The sequence below is a fragment of the Homo sapiens genome, chromosome 1 (genome assembly GCF_000001405.40).
Source record: "Homo sapiens chromosome 1, GRCh38.p14 Primary Assembly".
Classification (NCBI taxonomy): Eukaryota; Metazoa; Chordata; class Mammalia; order Primates; family Hominidae; genus Homo; species Homo sapiens.
In genome coordinates this window covers 157,232,186-157,252,344 of record NC_000001.11, presented here as the reverse complement: position 1 = coordinate 157,252,344, position 20,159 = coordinate 157,232,186, and the positions used below count along the sequence as shown (strand labels likewise).

The 20,159-nt window shown below is 41.3% G+C and overlaps 1 long non-coding RNA gene across 1 annotated transcript in view; it reads left to right on the top strand.

Annotated features, from left to right (window-relative positions):
* Positions 1–20,159, top strand: part of LOC105371456 (uncharacterized) — a 54,091-nt gene that overhangs the window by 27,069 nt on the left and 6,863 nt on the right. The window lies entirely within an intron of this gene.

Sequence of the window (20,159 nt, the reverse complement as noted above, 5' to 3'; positions counted from 1 at the left end):
TGCTCACCATCTCCAGGAAACATTCAACCTTCTCAGCATGTATTAGTTCATTCTCACATTGCTATGAAGAAATACCCTAGTCTGGGTAATTTTTAAAGAAAAAAGGTTTAATTGACTCACAGTTCCACATGTCTGGAAAGCCTCAGGAAACTTACAATCATGGTAGAAGACTAAGGGAAAGAAAGACACCTTCTTCACAGGGTGGCTTGAAGGAGAAGTGCCAAGCAAAGGGGGGACATCCCCTTATAAACCATCAGATTCCATGAGAACTCACTATCATGAGAACAGCATGGGGGTAACTGCCCCTATGATTAAATTACCTCGAACCAGGTCCCTCCCATGACACATGGGGTTTATGAGAACTACAATTCAAGATGAGATTTGGGAGGGGACACAGCCAAACCATATCACAGCCCCTAGGACCATACAAGGTTGGGAGATTCAGAGAAACCACAGTTGGCACACGTGTCAGGAAACTATGTGGAAGGAGAGAAATCAGGGTTTTCAAACAAGAAAAGAACGGTGATACCAGGCACTTATGTCTGCTCTGCTCTGAACAGCACTTGAAGAGCCATTCAGTGAATCAGGAGTCTTATTTGTAAGGAGTAACCTCCAGTTGGAAACTAGTATCAGAAGAAGATAGAGGGAGGAAGGTTTTGACTCATATTAAAGACAGTTTTCTGTAGTCTGAGTCATCCAAAAAATAAAAAATAAATAAATAAAAGCTTTGGGAAACAGTGAGGTTCCTGTCACTGGTGTAGTGTACACAGAGGCACAACCACTTGGTAGGGGTCCTAGAAGTGCAGGAGGAAGTTGGACTCCTAGTGAATTTTCTTCCAATGAAACAGAACAAATAGTACCCACACACACACACACACACACACACACACACACACACATATTCTATGTATTAGCTCATGTGATTATGGATGCTTGGTGAGTTCAAAATATGTTGTGGGAGGCCACGAGGCTGGAGAGTCAAGAAATACTGGAAGTTTGAGTCTAAAGGCAGAGTGTGCTAGAAAGCCAGGAAGAGGTGATGTTGCAGATGAAGTCAGAAGGCAAACTCCTAGAGAAGTTTTCTTGCTCAGGGTTGTCAGCCTTTTGTTCTATCAAGGGCTTCATTTGACTGAATGAAACCTCCCAGTATTACGGAGGGCAATCTGTTCTATTCAAAGTCCACTGATTTAAATGCTAACCTCATCCCCAGACATCCACACAGAAACATCTAGAATAATGTTTGACCATAAATCTGGGCACAATGACCCAGAAAATTTGATGGGACTTTATTTCATTTTTTTGGGGATATCTCAGGTTTTCCAAGACACAAAGAAACCTATCTTCTTCTGACAAGCTTTAAAACATATTTGTTAGAACAGAAACTACCAATTCTTTAAAGGTTTGAAGCAATGCACCAGTAATAGGATACTTACATAAGTTTTACACTTTCTATGTTGTTTTTGTGAGGTAAATCAATTTTAGTGATATATATTTTCCTAGAAATTTGTCATTTCATGATTATTCTTAACTTGAACAGACATTATATATTACATTTTTCTAGAGTTTTGTTGTTTTCGTTTTGCTGTCTTAAATATGAAAGGATCTTGCTGAAAGGCTAAGTGATAAATTAGGTGAAGATTCCAACATTGTGAGCTACAGAATCCCATTCACCAGTCCAGTTTTTCTCACTGAGTCAGTTTACGAGTGCAGTTTGGCGGTTCAGTTGGTGGGATGCAGCGTGTTGATGGATGTCCCCTCCCTCTACAACCTCTGCTAGAACTTGGAAATAGGGGAGATAAAGTGTGTAGGTTTTTTTGTTTCTGGAAAGTAAATATAAAGCCACCTACTTGATCACAGAATAGGTATGGAGATTCCAGCTCACACAACAGGGCACAACTCAGTCTCACAGATAAACATGACCAAATAAACAATATATTGATCTCAGGGTCAGGGTAGGAGATCAGTAAGAAATGGAGCATAAAGAAAGGTGAATGGTAGAGATAGCTGAAGGAGAATTCCAGGCCCCAGGCAGGTAAATCCTACTACGGAATGGAGAGCTCAGACTCTAGAAAGCTAATGGAGTCAACACCAGCTGCATCTGCTCACCTGCCCTGACTCACAACTCCCCAAGTAGCCCGTCGATGTCTTGGTTTCCCATATGGCCTGCCTTTGGGAACAGGACATTCTGGTCAGGCTAATGAGAATTTCTTTCTACCCAGTTGACAAGTATACTTCTTACTGTAAATTAATAAATAAGCAATGTGGTTTTGTCAACCAGTGTCTTATGACATTTGTTAGCAAGATTTTGTTTCTACAAGTTACGTCAATTCTAGAGAATAGATGAGATACAGCTTCTGGGGATCAGGCTCACAGTCTGAGGCTCAGACTTTCAGTTATGGTGAATACATCACAGAAATGCCAATCTGTGGGCTCTCATCATTCATTCTGTCCTTCATTCATAGAACATTTACTGTTCTATACACAGAGGACACACTAAGGACCACCTTGGAAGACAAACTTCTCCTTGCCAAGAATGTGACCATTTGAATTTCACAAATACTCCAATAGGCCAGTGTTTTCACTTCTCAATCTTGATTATGTGTCAGAATTACCTTTTGACATTTAAAAAAATTACAGATGATACCTAGTTTGGGGACAGGGCCCAGGCATTCGTTTTTAAGAGCTCCACAGGTGGTCTGATGTACAGCCAGGCTTATGAGCCATTCATGGGGATTTCCCATTTGGATCAGCTAGACCACATTTTCCACTTTGCTGGTATTGTTTAGACAGGTCCAGAGATGTTTTGGAGTGATTTCAGTAAAGACTGTGAATGGGTCATTTCAACACAATAGGAAGTGAAAGTTAGAATAAACACTTTCACTGGTTTCCAAGATGATCATCTTCCTGTTGTCGTGCATGTGACTTAATCTTTCTGAAGCACAACTATGATCCTGTCACTGCCTTTCCCAAAAATTTTAATAGATGATCTTTTTTCTAAGTGTTACAGACAATCTAATGATACAGAGAAAGAGACAGATCCCAGAAAATAGCCACTGTGGACTGTTTCACAACTTTTAGACTTGCTTTATGCCCAAGAAAACAGATGTGACTATATATTTATAATACCAGGATAATACTATACATGATGCTCCATAGCACACAATATTTCACAGACACATTCCCATTTACATAATTACATATTAAAATGTGAATTACATATTAGAATGTAATTTATCCTTTTTATTACCTAAACAGTACACTATCATGTGGAAAGACTATAATTGATTTAACCAGTATAATGTAGTGGTGAGGAGCCAGGATTTTAGTCTGAATCCCAGCTCTATCACTGAATTGAGTCTTGGATGAGTTCATTGACTCATCACTATTCCAGTTTCCTGAGAATAACAATGGTATCTACATACTAGGATGTATAGCTTACTCTTTGAGTCCTCATTGGCCCATTTGTTTTTGGGGTTTTTTGTTTATATGTTTGTTTGTTTGTTTTCCATAAGTTATTGGGATACAAGTGGTATTTGGTTACATGAGTAAGTTCTTTAGCGGTGATTTGTGAGATTTTGGTGCACCCATCACCCAAGCAGTCTACACTGAACCATATTTGTAGTCTTTTATCCCTCACCCTCCTTCCAATCTTCCCTCCAAGTCCCCAAAGTCCATTGTATCATTATTATGCCTTTCTGTCCTCATAGCTTAGCTCCCACATATCAGTGAGAACATACGATGTTTGGTTTTCCATTCCTGAGTTACTTCACTTAGAATAATAGTCTCCAATCTCATCCAGGTCACTGCAAATGCTGTTAATTCATTCCTTTTTATGGCTGTGTACTATTCCATCATATATATATACCACAGTTTCTTTGTCCACTCATTAGTTGATGGGCATTTGGGTTGGTTCCATGATTTTGCAATTGTGAATTGTGCTGCTATAAACATGAGTGTGCAAGTATCTTTTTCAAATAATGACTTCTTTTCCTCTGGGTAGATACCCAGTAGTGGGATTGCCGGATCAAATGGTAATTCTACTTTTAGATCTTTAAGGCATCTCCACACTGTTTTCCATAGTGGCTCTACTAGTTTACATTACCATCAGCAGTGTAGAAGTATTCCCTGTTCACCATATCCATGTCAACATCTACTGTTTTTTTTTTTTTTTCGATTATTGCCATTCTTGCAGGAGTAAGGTGGTATTGCACTGTGGTTTTGATTTGCATTTCCCTGATCATTAGTGATGTTAAGCATTTTTTCATATGTTTGTTGGCCATTTATATGTCTTCTTTTGAGAATTGCTCATTCATTTCCTTAGACCACTTTTTGATGGTTTTTGTTTGGTTTTTTTCTTACTGATTTTTTTGAGTTCGTTGTAGATTCTGGATAGTAGTCCTTTGTCAGATGTATAGATTGTGAAGATTTTTCTTCCACTGTCTGGGTTGTCTATTTATTCTGCTGACTGTTCCTTTTGCCATGCAAAAGCTCTTTAGTTTAATTAGGTCCCAGCTATTTATCTTCGTTTTTATTGCATTTGCTTTTGGGTTCTTGATCATAAAATCCTTGCCTAAGCCAATGTCTAGAAGGGTTTTTTCAATGTTATCTTCTAGAATTTTTATAGTTTCAGGTCTTAGGTGAACAATCCAGACTAAGTACACCCTGATTCACATTTCTGTAATAAGTGCTGTGAATGAACATTCAAGGAGGAGGGAGAAGGGCACCAGGAGGAGGTTGCAGTTTTAAATAGGATGGTCAGGGTAGACTCCGCTAAGATAACATTTGTACAAAAACCTGCAGAAAGTCAGGAAATGAGACAAGCAAATACCTGGAGAAAGGGAATTCCAGATAGAAGCAAAGGCCCTCAGGCAGAAACATGCCTTGTCTGCTGAAAGAATAGCAGGGTGGAATAAAGGCAGAGAAGGTGGGAGATCTGGTTAGATGGTGCAGGGCCTTGCAGGTAAAATGGAAGCCATGGAAGGAATCATGTAGGTTATAGCCATGAGCTAAGGAGAGGGTAATACAATATAACCTACATGTAGGTTATAGCCGTGGGCTAAGGAGTAAGTAATATGATATAACCTACAGTTTTCTAAGAATTACTCTAGATGCTATTTTGAGAATAAACTTAAGAGGCTAAAAATAGAAGCAAGAAGACTGTGAGGCTACTGCAATACTGCAAGAGAGTGATGATGACTATATGACCCAGCAATTCTATTCCTTGGTATATATCTAAGAGAAGTGAAAACAAATAAAACACACATCTACACAAAATGTACATGTACATGAATGTTCATATCAGAGCCTAAAATCAGATACAATCCAGATTCTGCCAACTGATCAATGAATAAACAGTTGTAGGCTGGTTGTGTTGGCTCATGCCTGAAATCACAGCATTTTGGGAGGCCAAGGTGAGTTCACTTGAGCCCAGGAGTTTGAGACCAACCTGGGCAATTTAATGAGACCTCGTCTTTATTCAAAACAATAATAAAAAAATTTTAAAAACAAGTTGTGGTATATCCACACAATAGAATATTATTCATCCACAAAAAGGAATGAAGTACTGATACATGCTACAACATGAATAAATCTTAAGAATATTAGGATAAGTGAGAGAAGCCAGACACAAAAGGTCACACATTGTATGATTCTGTTTATATGAAGTGTCCATCAAAGGCAAATCCACAGACACAAAAAGTAGATTAATGGTTGCCAGGTGGCATAGGAGAGGGAAAGGGAAAGTGACCACTAATGGGTATGGGGTTCTTTTGGGGGTGATGAAAGTGTCTGAAATTAAATAGTGCTCATGATTGTACAACCTTGCAAATATACTGAAAAGAACTGCATCGTACCCTTTACATTCATGAATTTATGGTATGTGAATTAGATCTATCGCTATTTATAAAAGAGACAAAGGCAGGAAAGGAGTGGGTTGGAACTAGGAAATATAGATAATTATTTCAAGAAAAATTGCTACAAAATGGTGAAGAAAAATGGGACAGTACTGGAGGGAGTGTGAATTTGTAGGATTATTTTACGTTTTTATGCTAATGAAAATATTTCAATAAAGATTGGGAAAAAAATAAGAATACTGGAAAGAAGAACTTGTAGGGAGATGTCACTGAAGTAGCCAAGTGGAGAGAAAATCTGGTCCAAGAGGAGCACCGGACCTAACAGGAACAAGAACTGTTCACAGTCACAAGGTGAAGGCAGAAGGTACAGGATCAGATACAGGGTGGCGGGTAGGCTTGGCCCTCTCCTGGGAAGGAGAAGCAGGCACCTTGAGTGGCTGAGCAGAGCAGGGACTTCTGGTTAGCTGAGGGTTGAATAGTCAGCCCTGACAGACCCCACTTCCTGGAAGAAGAAACAAGGCTCAGCCCTCAGGCTGCCAGGGAGGATCTGCCCTAGAAACTGGATGGTGAGCACAGCCAGCAGGAAGATGAAGAAAGACTCAGAGAGAGAGAGAGAGAGAGAAAGAGAGAGAGAGAGAAGGAAGGGAGCAAGAGCTCTCTGACCTACAGAGAAGCTAATCCTGAAGAAGAAAAAACAAGCCAGACAGGATCTGGTTATAATTGAGGTGGAGTTAAAAATTCATTTAAATAATATAAAATGTAACTCTCACACATAACAAAGTTTTGTCCACTTTTCTGACACTTCCTTTCTATCATTACAATGGAAAACCAACAGTAGTTTCCTCTCAACTCATGTATGACACCAAAACTCTTCTCCCTGGTGCTGTCTCCACTGTCCCCACGTCTCTGTCTGGAGCCCATAATGGCAGGGACTTTCTTCTCCAGCTCCCTGTGGCAGATGTAGGGACACTCCAGGCTCTCTTACCGTCCCTGCTAATGAAGCCGATGTGGCCTCACCTCCCTAGTAAATGTGCCCTTCATGCAGCCAAGACTGCCCTGGCTCAGGGTTGCCAGCCTCCTCGCCACTAAAGGGCCATTTCCAACCAAATATGCTGCATTTGTAAATCATAACAGAGCGCTCTTTTCTTTTTATTCCCCAAAGACAGCAGAATCTGAACAGCCCACCCAGTGATCAGGACCCAGCTAGCCCAGCCCCACCCAATTGCCCTCCCTTCCCAGGGACCCTACCACTCACTGAAGAGGAGGCAGATGAATCCCAGGAGTTGGGAGGCCCAGTGAGGGGCTGGTCCTCAGAGCAGTAGCCCATGGTAGGCCAGCTGCCACCTGTTCAGCTGCAGAGGAAACAACAGGAAGGGACAAGGTAAGAAAAGAAGAAAAGCTTGAGCCTAGGAGGCCTTACACAATCTTCCAGGATGGAACTAGCAATATTTGACCAAAAAAAAAAAAAAGGTCAAACTTTGTAAAATATTTGAAGAGGCTTATTCTGAGCCAAATGTGAGGACCATGACCCATGACACAGCTCCAGGAGGTCCAGAAAACAATGCCCAAAGTGGTTGGATTAGAGATGGATTTCATACATTTTAGGGGAACAGAAGTTACAGGCAGACATCAATCAATACATGTGAGGTATACATTGGTTTGATCCAGAAAGATGAGACAACTTGAAACAAGGGCTTACAGGTCATGGATGGATTCAAAGATTTTCTGATTGACAATTGGTTGAAAGAGTTAAATTATACCTGAAGACCTGGAATCAATAGAAAGGAGTAGTGGAAAGATCAACAAAATTGATAGACTGGTAGTAAGACTAATAAAGAAGAAAAGAGAGAAGAATCAAATAGATGCAATAAAAAATGATAAAGGGGATATCACCACCGATCCCACAGAAATACAAACTACCATCAGAGAATACTATAAACACCTCTATGCAAATAAACCAGAAAATCTAGAAGAAATGGATAAATTCCTCAACACATACATCCTCCCAAGACTAAACCAGGAAGAAGTTGAATCTCTGAATAGACCAACAACAGGCTCTGAAATTGAGGCAATAATCAATAGCTTACCAACCAAAAAAAGTCCAGGACCAGATGGATTCACAGCAGAATTCTACCAGAGGTACAAAGAGGAGCTGGTACCATTCCTTCTGAAACTATTCCAATCAATAGAAAAAGAGGGAATCCTCCCTAACTCATTTTATGAGGCCAGCATCATCCTGATACCAAAGCCTGGCAGAGACACAATCAAAAAAGAGAATTTTAGACCAATATCCTTGATGAACATTGATGCAAAAATCCTTAATAAAATACTGGCAAACCAAATCCAGCAACACATCAAAAAGCTTATCCACCATGATCAAGTGGGCTTCATCCCTGGGATGCAAGGCTGGTTCAACATATGAAAATCAACACGTAATCCAACATATAAACAGAACCAAAGACAAAAACCACATGATTATCTCAATAGATGCAGAAAAGGCCTTTGACAAAATTCAACAACCCTTCATGCTAAAAACTCTCAATAAATTAGGTATTGATGGGACGTATCTCAAAATAATAAGAGCTATCTATGACAAACCCACAGCCAATATCATACTGAATGGACAAAAACTGGAAGCATTCCCTTTGAAAACGGGCACAAGACACGGATGCCCTTTCTCACCACTCCTATTCAACATAGTGTTGGAAGTTCTGGCCAGGGCAATCAAGCAGGAGAAGGAAAAAAAGGACATTCAATTAGGAAAAGAGGAAGTCAAATTGTCCCTGTTTGCCGATGACATGATTGTATATCTAGAAAACCCCATCTTCTCGGCCCAACATCTCCTAAAGCTGATAAGCAACTTCAGTAAAGTCTCAGGATACAAAATCAGTGTACAAAATCACAAGCATTCTTATACACCAATAACAGACAGAGAGCCAAATCATGAGTGAACTCCCATTCACAATTGCTTCAAAGAGAATAAAATACTTAGGAATCCAGCTTACAAGGGATGTGAAGGACCTCTTCAAGGAGAACTACAAGCCACTGCTCAAGGAAATAAAAGAGGATACAAACAAATGGAAGAACATTCCATACTCATGGGTAGGAAGAATCAATATCGTGAAAATGGCCATACTACCCAAGGTAATTTATAGATTCAATGCCATCCCCATCAAGCTACCAATGACTTTCTTCACAGAATTGGAAAATACTACTTTAAAGTTCATATGGAACCAAAAAAGAGCCCACATCGCCAAGTCAATCCTAAGCCAAAAGAACAAAACTGGAGGCATCACACTACCTGACTTCAAACTATACTACAAGGCTACAGTAACCAAAACAGCATGGTACTGGTACCAAAACAGAGATATAGACCAATGGAACAGAACAGAGCCCTCAGAAATAATGCTGCATATCTACAACTATCTGATCTTTGACAAACCTGACAAAAACAAGAAATGGGGAAAGGATTCCCTATTTAATAAATGGTGCTGGGAAAACTGGCTAGCCACATGTAGAAAGCTGAAACTGGACCCCTTCCTTACACGTTATACAAAAACTAATTCAAGATGGATTAAAGACTTAAATGTCAGACCTAAAACCATAAAAACCCTAGAAGAAAACCTAGGCAATACCATTCAGGACATAGGCATGGGCAAGGACTTCATGTCTAAAACACCAAAAGCAATGGCAACAAAAGCCAAAATTGACAAATGGGATCTAATTAAACTAAAGAGCTTCTGCACAGCAAAAGAAACTACCATCAGAGTGAACAGGCAACCTACAGAATGGGAGAAAATTTTTGCAACCTACTCATCTGACAAAGGGCTAATATCCAGAATCTACAATGAACTCAAACAAATTTACAAGAAAAAAACAAACAACCCCATTAAAAAGTGGGCGAAGGATATGAACACACTTCTCAAAAGAAGACATTTATGCAGCCAAAAAACACATGAAAAAATGCTCATCACTGGCCATCAGAGAAATGCAAATCAAAACCACAATGAGATACCATCTCACACCAGTTAGAATGGCGATCATTAAAAAGTCAGGAAACAACAGGTGCTGGAGAGGATGTGGAGAAATAGGAACACTTTTACACTGTTGGTGGGACTGTCAACTAGTTCAACCATTGTGGAAGTCAGTGTGGCGATTCCTCAGGAATCTGGAACTAGAAATACCATTTGACCCAGCCATCCCATTACTGGGTATATACCCAAAGGATTATAAATCATGCTGTTATAAAGACACATGCACACGTATGTTTATTGCGGCACTATTCACAATAGCAAAGACTTGGAACCAACCCAAATGTCCAAAAACAATAGACTGGATTAAGAAAATGTGGCACATATACACCATGGAATACTATACAGCCATAAAAAATGATGAGTTCATGTCCTTTGTAGGGACATGGATGAAACTGGAAACCATCATTCTCAGCAAACTATGGCAAGGACAAAAAACCAAACACCACATGTTCTCACTCATAGGTGGGAATTGAACAATGAGAACACATGGACACAGGAAGGGGAACATCACACACCGGGGACTGCTGTTGGGTAGGGGGAGGAAGGAGGGATAGCATTAAGAGATATACCTAATGCTAAATGACGAGTTAATGGGTGCAGCACACCAACAAGGCACATGTATACATATGTAACAAACCTGCACGTTGTGCACATGTACCCTAAAACTTCAAGTATAGTAATAATAAAATTAAAAAAAAAAAAGAAAAGGGGTTTTGGAGACCAAGGTTCTTATTATGTTGAGGAAGTCTCATAGGTGGCCACCCTTAGAGGCAATAGATGGCAAATGTTTCCTATTCAGACGTTCAAAAGGTGCTAGACTCTCAGCTAATGTCTTCAGGATCAGCAAAGCACCTGGAAAGGGAAGGGGGTTCTCTACAGAATGTAAATTTGCCCCACAAGGAACAGCATTGCAGGGCCATTTCAAACTACGTCAAAGAAATATATTTCAGGGTAAGCTATTTTTCTTTCAGGGCCTGCTGTCCGTCATTTTGTGATGTTTCTTATTGCTACAAAGAGTCAGTTTTGTCACTCTTAAGATCTGTTTTAATGTTAATGCTGGCTAGTTGTGCCTGAATTCTCAATGGAGAGGAGTACAATGAGGCATATCTGACCCCCCACTTCCTATCATGGCCTAAGCTAGTTTTTCAGGTTTTTTTGGAATCCCCTTGGCTGGGGGGTGGGGGTCTATTTAGTCATTTGGTGGTTTAGAATTTTATTTTTGGCTTACACAAGTTAATTCTTGTTTGACCTCTGGCTAGTTAGTTCTGTTGTGACAGCCCACGATTTTAAAGAAAGCTCTTTCAGCTTATTCCAGCACCTGCAGTGTATACTCAGTAGGTAACTGTAGAATAAATGTGGAAAGAACCTCACTCTGTAGTGTTCCTGGCACTGCACTGAAGAGCCCCTCTCCGCACGCAGCCCGTTGGTGTTCTCGCACACACCTCCCCCTGCTTGCCAGCTTCCCTGTGTTCACAGCTCTGCCCCAGGTAGCCCTGGTCACCAGTGTCAGCCTATGGTCAGGCACAAAAGTCATACTCTTATAGCAAGGCTCAGCTAGGCCCCTCCTGTTTTTAGTGGTTTTCCTTTGTCCCTACCCCAATTAATGATTAATTTCCTTTCTGGTTTTCCACAAACTTCAATTGTCAGTTGCCTAAGTAACAAGCTGTGGGCAAAAGAACAAAGGCCTTTGTGGGAAGTGTTCACTCCCCCCATACCCAATGCAAATATTGGCATTTATCTTTTGCTGGGAACCAGTATCCAAAGTCCTACAGTCTATCGTCCTGGAGGCTTAGCTCCACTCCCACACACTCAGACCACTACTTACAAACTCATTTTAGGGATATGCGGCTTGAGACACAGAGAGGTTATGCAATGTGTAAAAGGTCACACAGCTAGTCAAGGGGCAGGATCTGGCTTCTAAGGACAAGCTTGAGGCTCACCCTGCAGTCTCACAGCTGCTAGCCCATCTCACTGTGTGACTTCATGTAGGTCACCTGGAGTCCAGTCTGTGCTCTCCCCCAAACTGCTCTGCAACATCTTAGAAGAAATAACGTTTAATACTGGCTTAATTTCCATCCTATCCTGCCTACTAATAGGTAAATATCTTCCACAGGCCATTTGTGCATCCTGGCCACAAACTTTTTCTATTGGAGCAAACTCTGAGCAGCTCACCCATTGGTCACCCTCAAGTGTTATGGGGCCAGTCCCACACATGTCACTGCACCTCTCCTGAGAGGTCTCTTTTTTGGGGAACTGTTTGAAATGGAAACCATTCTGTGATAGTAGGAAGGAACAGCATGGAGAGAAGGAACTGGCAATGTAGCACAGTCTGGAAACAGGAAGAGAGAGTCAACCCCAATATACACTCCACACTGGCAAAAGACCAGGAACTGACAAAAAAAAAAAAACTCCAGAAGACTAATCAGTTTTTCAGCATCCCTTCCATTCTGTGCTGAGGCATGTCAACCTAAAAAGAGGAGGCAGAGGCACAACATATTATTGAAAGCCTTTACTTGAGCCAAAGTGAGGACAGTTGCCTGGAAGACTCAGACCCAAGTAACCTTAGACGTGTGCTCTGTTCACCCTTTGTTACAAGCAGCTTTTTAAAGGCAAAGCAGGGGACAAGGATGGGCTGATACAAAGTTGCTTGTCAGGAATTCTGCTTGGTTTACAGAAGTAACATTGATCAGTGATTGGTTATACACTGTTTAGCTGTAAGGTATGAGTTATAGTGTCTGGTGTGGCATAGTTAGGTTAATTTATAGCTACTTGTCCCAATAACAAGCAGTTTCAAGAGATGAATACATAGCTCAAGGGGGAGAGAAGGGCATGAATGCTGTCTTATTTTAATGTTTCTCTGTGCCTGATACTTTAAAAGGACTGGCATTCCTCAGATAAAAGTTTTTTGTTTTTTGTTTTTTCCTTTCTCAGGCATATCACGTGCACTTTCACACACACCAACCACAAGTCCTTTGGTAAGAGTTTACTTCCATAACTTCGTGGTGCTGTTACAGGTAGTTAGAGAGGCATGAGCAGGCAGGAGAGGGCTCTCCTCTGACCAGCTAGGAATGTCAGGTGATGATTCCACAATTATCACACTGTCTCTCTAAAAATGATAATTCGGTAGCCAGGGAGAGACAATCTCCTGATGGTCCACACCTGTTAACATTCAAACTGTTCATTGAATGCAGGCCCCAGGGAGAAGCAACTTCCTGGGCATGCTTGTGAAGAGAAAAAATGAGGGCAGGATGATATCCCAGGTACAATCTACCAAAAAAAGGAAGAAAGCCTCAGACGTGCATGCATGTAACTCCCTAAACACACTGTGTGTGCTCAGTTGCAAAGGGTAAGGAGAGCACTGCCCATGCAGAAAGCCCACCCTAGGGGAAGAGTCATGGGAAAGAGGCAAGCCTATAAAGTCCCAGGATCAAGGTTAAAGGCCCCTTTTTGCTCCCATTTTCTCTCTTGGAACTTCAGGCACCCACTTGCGTCTCTTCCAAGTGAATTTTCCTTTCTTTCCTGTTCTAAAGCCTTTTTCAATAAACTTCCACTCCTACTCGGATACTTGCTTCAGTCTCTTTTTCTGCTTTATACCACCCAGTCAAATTCTTTCTTCTGAGGAGGCAAGGACTGAAGTTGCTACCCCACTGCTAACTCCAGATAACTGGGATCTCTGCCATCACTAACGGTGCTTGCTGGTAATGCTTTGGGGAATTAAAGGAAGACAGATCTGGATCTGTAGCAGCAGACTGTGTGTGTGGCGGGGGAAAGTGCCACATAGCAGAGAAATGTTGATCAAATGTGATTGAGTCTAGGAAGAATAAGAGGTCTGCAGGACTTAGTGACCCTGAGAACCTAAATCCCTGGAATTCAGAGAAATTCTGGGAAAGGCTCTGGATGTCTCTGTAATATGGGATGGGTGGTCACATTTATTTTATTTGAAACCCGAACCATAAGAAGTGCCAGATGAATACTAGGGTACATGAAGAATGTAATTACTGAATATTTGCTATATCCTGTGGCTTTATATGCATTATTTTAATTAATCCACAACATACATCAAATCATTCTCAAAATAACCCTGTTGTCTAAGCATTACACGCACCTTCTAGGTGGTACAGCATCCTAGATGTCCGGAGAGATTAAGTAACTCACTCCAGTACACACCTATGGTAAGTGACAAGGTGCACAGCTGTCAATGAAACCATCCTCACAGCGTTAATAAGAATGATGTGTGGGGTTCTGGGCAGAAATATAGTCACAGTGAAGCATTAATCAGGTGCACTTTGACCCACTTCCTTGTAACTGAAATTCAAGTAGCCCTAGATCCTATTTGCATCCTTATTGTTCCTATAGATAGAATCACTGGTGTTAGAATCATAAGGCTTTCATTAATAATTAATTAAGACTTTTTCAGATCCTGATTTCCAGCTGACACCAATCAGTTTTAAGATTCCCAAAGAAGCTGGGTACCATGGCCCACGCCTGTAATCCCAGCACTTCAGAAGGCCAAGGCAAGCAGATCTCTTGATTTCAGGAGTTTAAGACCAGCCTGGCCATCATGGCAAAACCCCATCTCTACAAAAAATACAAAAATTAGCCGGGTGTAGTGGAGGGCTCCTGTAATCCCAGCTACCTGGGAGGCTGAGGCAGGAGAATCACTTGAACCCAGTGGGCAGAAGTTGCAGTGAGTTGAGATCGCGCCTCTGCAGTCCAGCCTGGGCAAAGAGTAAGACTCTGTTTCAAAAAAACGCAGAGACACTAAATCAGCATGAGAATGCAGTTTCTTCATCTCTGCATCCCATGGCTTCACTCTGCACTGAGAGCAATCAATGATCCCCATGCCTTGGACCATTCCAAAGCCCTTAACTTTTTGGGGAGGTATATTTGAGGTTTGCTCCTGTCTCCTCATTCAGCAGGCTTACAATTAAAACTCTTTCTCAGGATAGTCCCTAAATATCTGTTCTTCCTTCTCTCCTCCTCTAGACCCAACTGCCTATTTGCTGATAAATAGTACTAATACTAATACTGATATTTAGGTTAAAATATGTTAGAGCAAAAATTTCAGAAAATAAATAATGGGTGGTTGCAATGGATTATTAAAGGAGGGGTATACAAATACTGAATAACTTTAGCTTTAATATTAAAAGCTTTATAATTCAACATATGTATTAGAAATGATGGAGTAAAGAGCCCCAAAAAGTCTATCTTCTGAGTGCTTTTCCCTACCTAAGATCTGAGTTAGTCAAAACAAAGACTAATCCTTCAGGCAGCCTCTATCCAGTTAGAACCTTGTGAACAAGGTGTGCTGTGCTCCCTCTCAGTTGAAGGAAAGAGTTGGCAACCGGGATGCTAATTTAGAAGTTCTAAGGTATTCTCCACCTGTAATCTATTGCTCCAGAATTCTGCAGGTAAGTTTCCCTTCTCCCTACCTGAGATTCCTCCACTAGGCAGCACCTGGACAGATTAGAACAGTGTGAATAAGGTGTGCTCTGCTCTCTCTCAAGTTGCCTCTCTCGAGTTCTCTCTCTCGAGTTCAACTTGAGATAGAGAATTGAGAATTGGGATGCCTCCTTCCCAAGACCAAGAGCATACCTATCAGGCGTTGGGGTGAGTTCATAAAAAATTGCAATGGAATTTCCTATTAATTTGAATGTGGCTTTTTCTTGTTTGGATCATCATTTGGTTGCTGGAGATCTTTGATTGTTTTTCAGTAAAGTTGGCTCCTATTTAAAAAAAAAAACCCTCTCTTTTGTAAAGCAATGAGAAAACTTGCTAACTTTGGAGGGAACTTTTTCAGAATTCTGAAAATTATCCAACAACTTGCAGCAATTCAAGAAAAGTTCTAATCTCAATAAGAACAGAGAGCTTTGTGTTTTATAACTTTCTCCAGTCCCACATCCCACACTCCAACTCCACTGTAGCCTTGAAATGTATCAATGTGCATTCATGGTGAAAAACAGCAGTCTAGTAGCTACTCAAAGGAGCAGAAAAGAGTTGAAGCTCTTTTAAAGGTTTATTCCCAAAGAAATGTCATTCTTTGATCTCTTAGTGGTTCCCAGGAAGACCCTACTTGCAATGATGTCAGTATTCGATGTATCTTGAAGCTCTCCCACTACAAAAAGCCCTTTGGTTAGAAGACATTTGTTGAAAGCAACTATTAGTAATTGTTTAACTTTGTGGCTGTGTACTGCAATGGATAACAATAAATGCAAACAACAGAGTAGCCAAAAAGCTTGAAAGGAAAAGCTTTGAATGAGTTGTCCACTTGGGCTTTGAAAAGCTCTCACATATTTCTCAGAATCTAGAAGACCACGCACATCCCTTTACTGTGTGCATCGCACGTACTGTGTTGATGCTTAGTAAAGGCTTCAAAAAGCCCTACACTCTCACCATAGCTGAAACTGAGGCTCTGTGCAGGCAGGAGGTGCAGACTAAGGAAGATTTGTCAACTACTCAGCTGAGTATTGAAAATATACCCCAATATGCATTTGGTGCCTCTCAGCAATGACTGGTGTCAACGAAAAGAATCAAACTCAGTAAAATATTTGAGGAGATTTATTCTGAGCCAAATATGAGTGACATAGCTCTTGGGAGACCCTGAGAACATGTGTCCAAAGTGGCCAGGGCGCAGCTTCATTTTATACATCTTGGAGAGACATTAGACATCAATCAAATACATTTAAGATATACATTGGTTTGATTTTAAAAGGCAGGACAACTCAAAGCAGGGACTTCCAGGTTGTAGATAGATTAGGCAATTTTCTGATTGGCAATTGGTTGAAAGAGTTATTATCAATAGAAAGGAATGTCTGGGTTAGGATAAGAGGTTGTGGAGACCAAAGTTTTATCATGCAGATGAAATTCCAGGTAGCAGGCTTTAGAGAGAAGAGATTGTAAATGTTTCTTATCAGACTTACTACGTGAATGTTAAATGCTGATAGGCTTTTTCTGAATTCCAAAACAAAGGCGGGCATAATGAGGCCTGTCCGACCCCTACTTCCTGTCATGAACTGAACCAGTCTTTGAGGTCAAATTTGGAGTGCCCTGGCCTAGAGAAGGAAGTCCATTCAGATGGTTTGGGTTGGTGTAACCACCCAATGGGTTCACCTTGCCCGCTGCCTACACAGAGCCAGTTGATCAACACAGGAGAATTGCATTGGCAAAAGAGTAATTCACACAGAGCCGGCTGTGCAAGAGGCCAGAATTTTATTATTACACAAATCAGTCTCCCCAAGCATTCGGGGATCAGAGTTTTTAAGGATAATTTGGCAGTTGTGGGCTCAGAAAGTGGGGAGTGCTGATTGGTTGGGTTGAAGATAAAATCATAGGAAGTCAAAGTGAGTTCTTCTTGCTGACTTCTGTTCCTGGGTAGGATTGCAGAACTGGTTGAGCCAGATTATCAGTCTGGGTGGTGTCATCTGCTGCATCGGAATGCAGGGTCTGCAAAATATCTCAAGCACTGATCTTAGGTTTTACAACAGCAATGTTATTCCCAGGAGCAATTTGGGGAGCTTCAGACTCTTGCAGCCAGAGGCTGCATGGCCTCTAAACCTTGATAACTAATCTTGTAGCTAATTTGTTAGTCCTACAAAGGCAGACAGGTCCCCAGTCCCCAGGCAAAAAGGGGATTTTCAGGAAAGGGCTATTATCCATTTTGTTTCAGTTTAAACTATAAACTGAATTCCTTCCTAAGGCTGGTTAGGCCTATACCCAGGAATGAACAAAGACAGTTTAGAGGTTAGAAGGAAGATGGGGTTGGTTAGGTCTGATCTCTTTTACTGACATAATTTCCTCAGTTATAATTTTTGCAAAGGCGGTTTCAGTGGAGGGCTTTGTATTTTACTTTTGGTTTACACTGGGAGAAAAATTGGTTCCAGGTGTGTATGCAAAAAGAATTTAACCTTGCTCAAAGTAAAGTCTGGTTTTGCCCTTGGCTGGGAGGTAATCTTTAATTCCTTGGAATGTCATGCCTGATAGGAGTTACTTTGATTTACTGGAGGCCTTGGATCACTGGATCACCAAATAATATGATTTAGGGTGGGTGCTAGCCACACCAGATAGTCTGGCCATGCCAAAAGACCACCAATGTGATTTAGGGTGGAAACTTTGGTTCACCTGCTATCAGATGACTTCCAGAATGGCTGAAGTTAAACATGTGGGCAATTAATCAGGCCTACATGATGGAGCCCGAATAGTAACTCCGGTCATGGAGACCCAGGTTGCTGTTGTGAAAAAAAAGCCAAACTCTGTAAAATATTTAGAGGGAGACAGAAGTTACAGGCAAAGACATAAATCAATACATGTAAGGTGTATATTGGTTTGGCCTGAATAGATGGAACATCTCAAAGTGGGGGAGCTTATAGGTCATAGGTGGATTTCTGACCGGCAATTAGTTGCAAAAGTTAAGTCTTGACTCGAGAGTTGAAGTCAGCAAAAAGAAATGCTTGAGTTAAGGTAAGGAGGGGTTGTGGAAGCCAAGATTCTTGGTATGTAGATGAAACCTCTAAGTATTAGGCTTCAGAGAGAGTAGATGGTAAATGCCACTTTTTGGACCTTAAAAGGTGTCGTACTCTTAGTTAAACCTCGCCTAGATTGGGAAAAGACCTACAAAAGAAAGGAGATTCTCTACAGAATGCAAATTTCCCTCACAAGAGAAAACTTTGCAGGGCCATTTCAAAGTATGTACTGGGGCAAAAGACTGATTTTCTTCAGGCCCGGCTATCTGTCATGTGAGGCTATACCAGGGTCAGGTTGGAATTTGGTATCTTATTGCTATAAAAAGTCTGTTTTGTCAGTTTTATGATCTCTATTTTAATGTGAATGCTGGTCAGTTGTGTCAAAACACTAGAAGCAGGCTGTATAATGAGATGTATCCAACCTCCCTTCCCCTCAGGGCCTGACCTAGTTTTGCAGGTTTCTTTGGAATCCCCTTGGTCAAGTAGGGGTGGGAAGGGTCCCTTCAGTCAATTGAGGAGCTTAGAATACTGTTTCTGAATTACAGTGGCAAACTGCACATAGTGTTCTACATTCATGCCACCCAACATGGCACACACTACAGATACCACTGAGCTGATTTGTTTTTACCTTCTTCAACAAAAGTGGCACCCTCCCAAACAGGATGCACCTTCTCATCTTGAAACCGTTAAGCAAGCCATTCATTAACCAAGCAGATCTTTTTTTTTTTTTCTTTTTCTTTTTTTTGAGACAGAATCTCACTCTGTCACCCAGGCTGGAGTATAGTGGTTCAATCTCTGCTTGCTGCAACCTCTGCATCTTGGGCTCAAACAGTCCTTCCATCTCAGCCTCCTGAGTAGCTGGGACCACAGGTGTACACCACCACACCTGGCTAATTTTTGTATTTTTGTGTAGAGATGAGATTTTGCCATATTGCCTAGGCTGGACTCAAACTCCTGGGCCCAAGTCAATTGCTCTCCTTGGCCTCCCAAAGTGCTGGCATTAAAGGCATGAGTCATTGCACCTAGCCTCCAAACAGATTTTTATTGAACCATAGAGTAGTTCATAGGGCATTTCCAAAGGGATCCAAGTGGTCATGGGTTCCAAAAGCTCCTCAAGGGTTTCCAAATTTGGCCCCTGCGGAAAAGAACCTATCTGCTCATGAGTACTCATGATGTTACAGTAGGTAGTCAGGCAGACAGAAGCAGGGCAGGAGAGGACTCGCCTAACTAGGAATGTCAGGTGACCATCAATGATGGTCAGGCGGGTGTTACGTTGTGTCTCTAAAATAATAATTGGTCACAGCCAGCACCAAAAAAAGACAGTCTCCCAATAGATGGGAAAAACTTTAAAATGGTGATAAGCAGCTTCCCAATAAGATCACAGGAGTTGGGCAAGTGGGCTTAAGCATGTGCATTAAGAGGCAAAATGGTGGAGTTTAACTGGTATGTGACCTTCTAGGAACATTTGAACTGGTAAGGAAAGAATGCCTCAAGTGAGCATGTGTACAACTCCAGTAAACACACTGTGCATGCAGCCTCTCCCAAATTCTGGCAGGCTACTGGGCATGTGGAAAACCCATCCCAAGAGAAGAATCACGGGAGAAGGAATGCAAGAACCCAGAAGCATGCCAACATATAAAACCCTGAGTCAAAGATCAAACTGGGAACTTGGATCTCTTAAGTCACCTGCTTGGCCCTTTTCCAAGTGTACTTTACTTCCTTTCATTCCTGCTCTAAAGTTTTTAATAAACTTTTCCTCCTACTCTAAAATTTGCCATAGTCTTTAACTCTGCCTTATGCCCTGTGGTCAAATT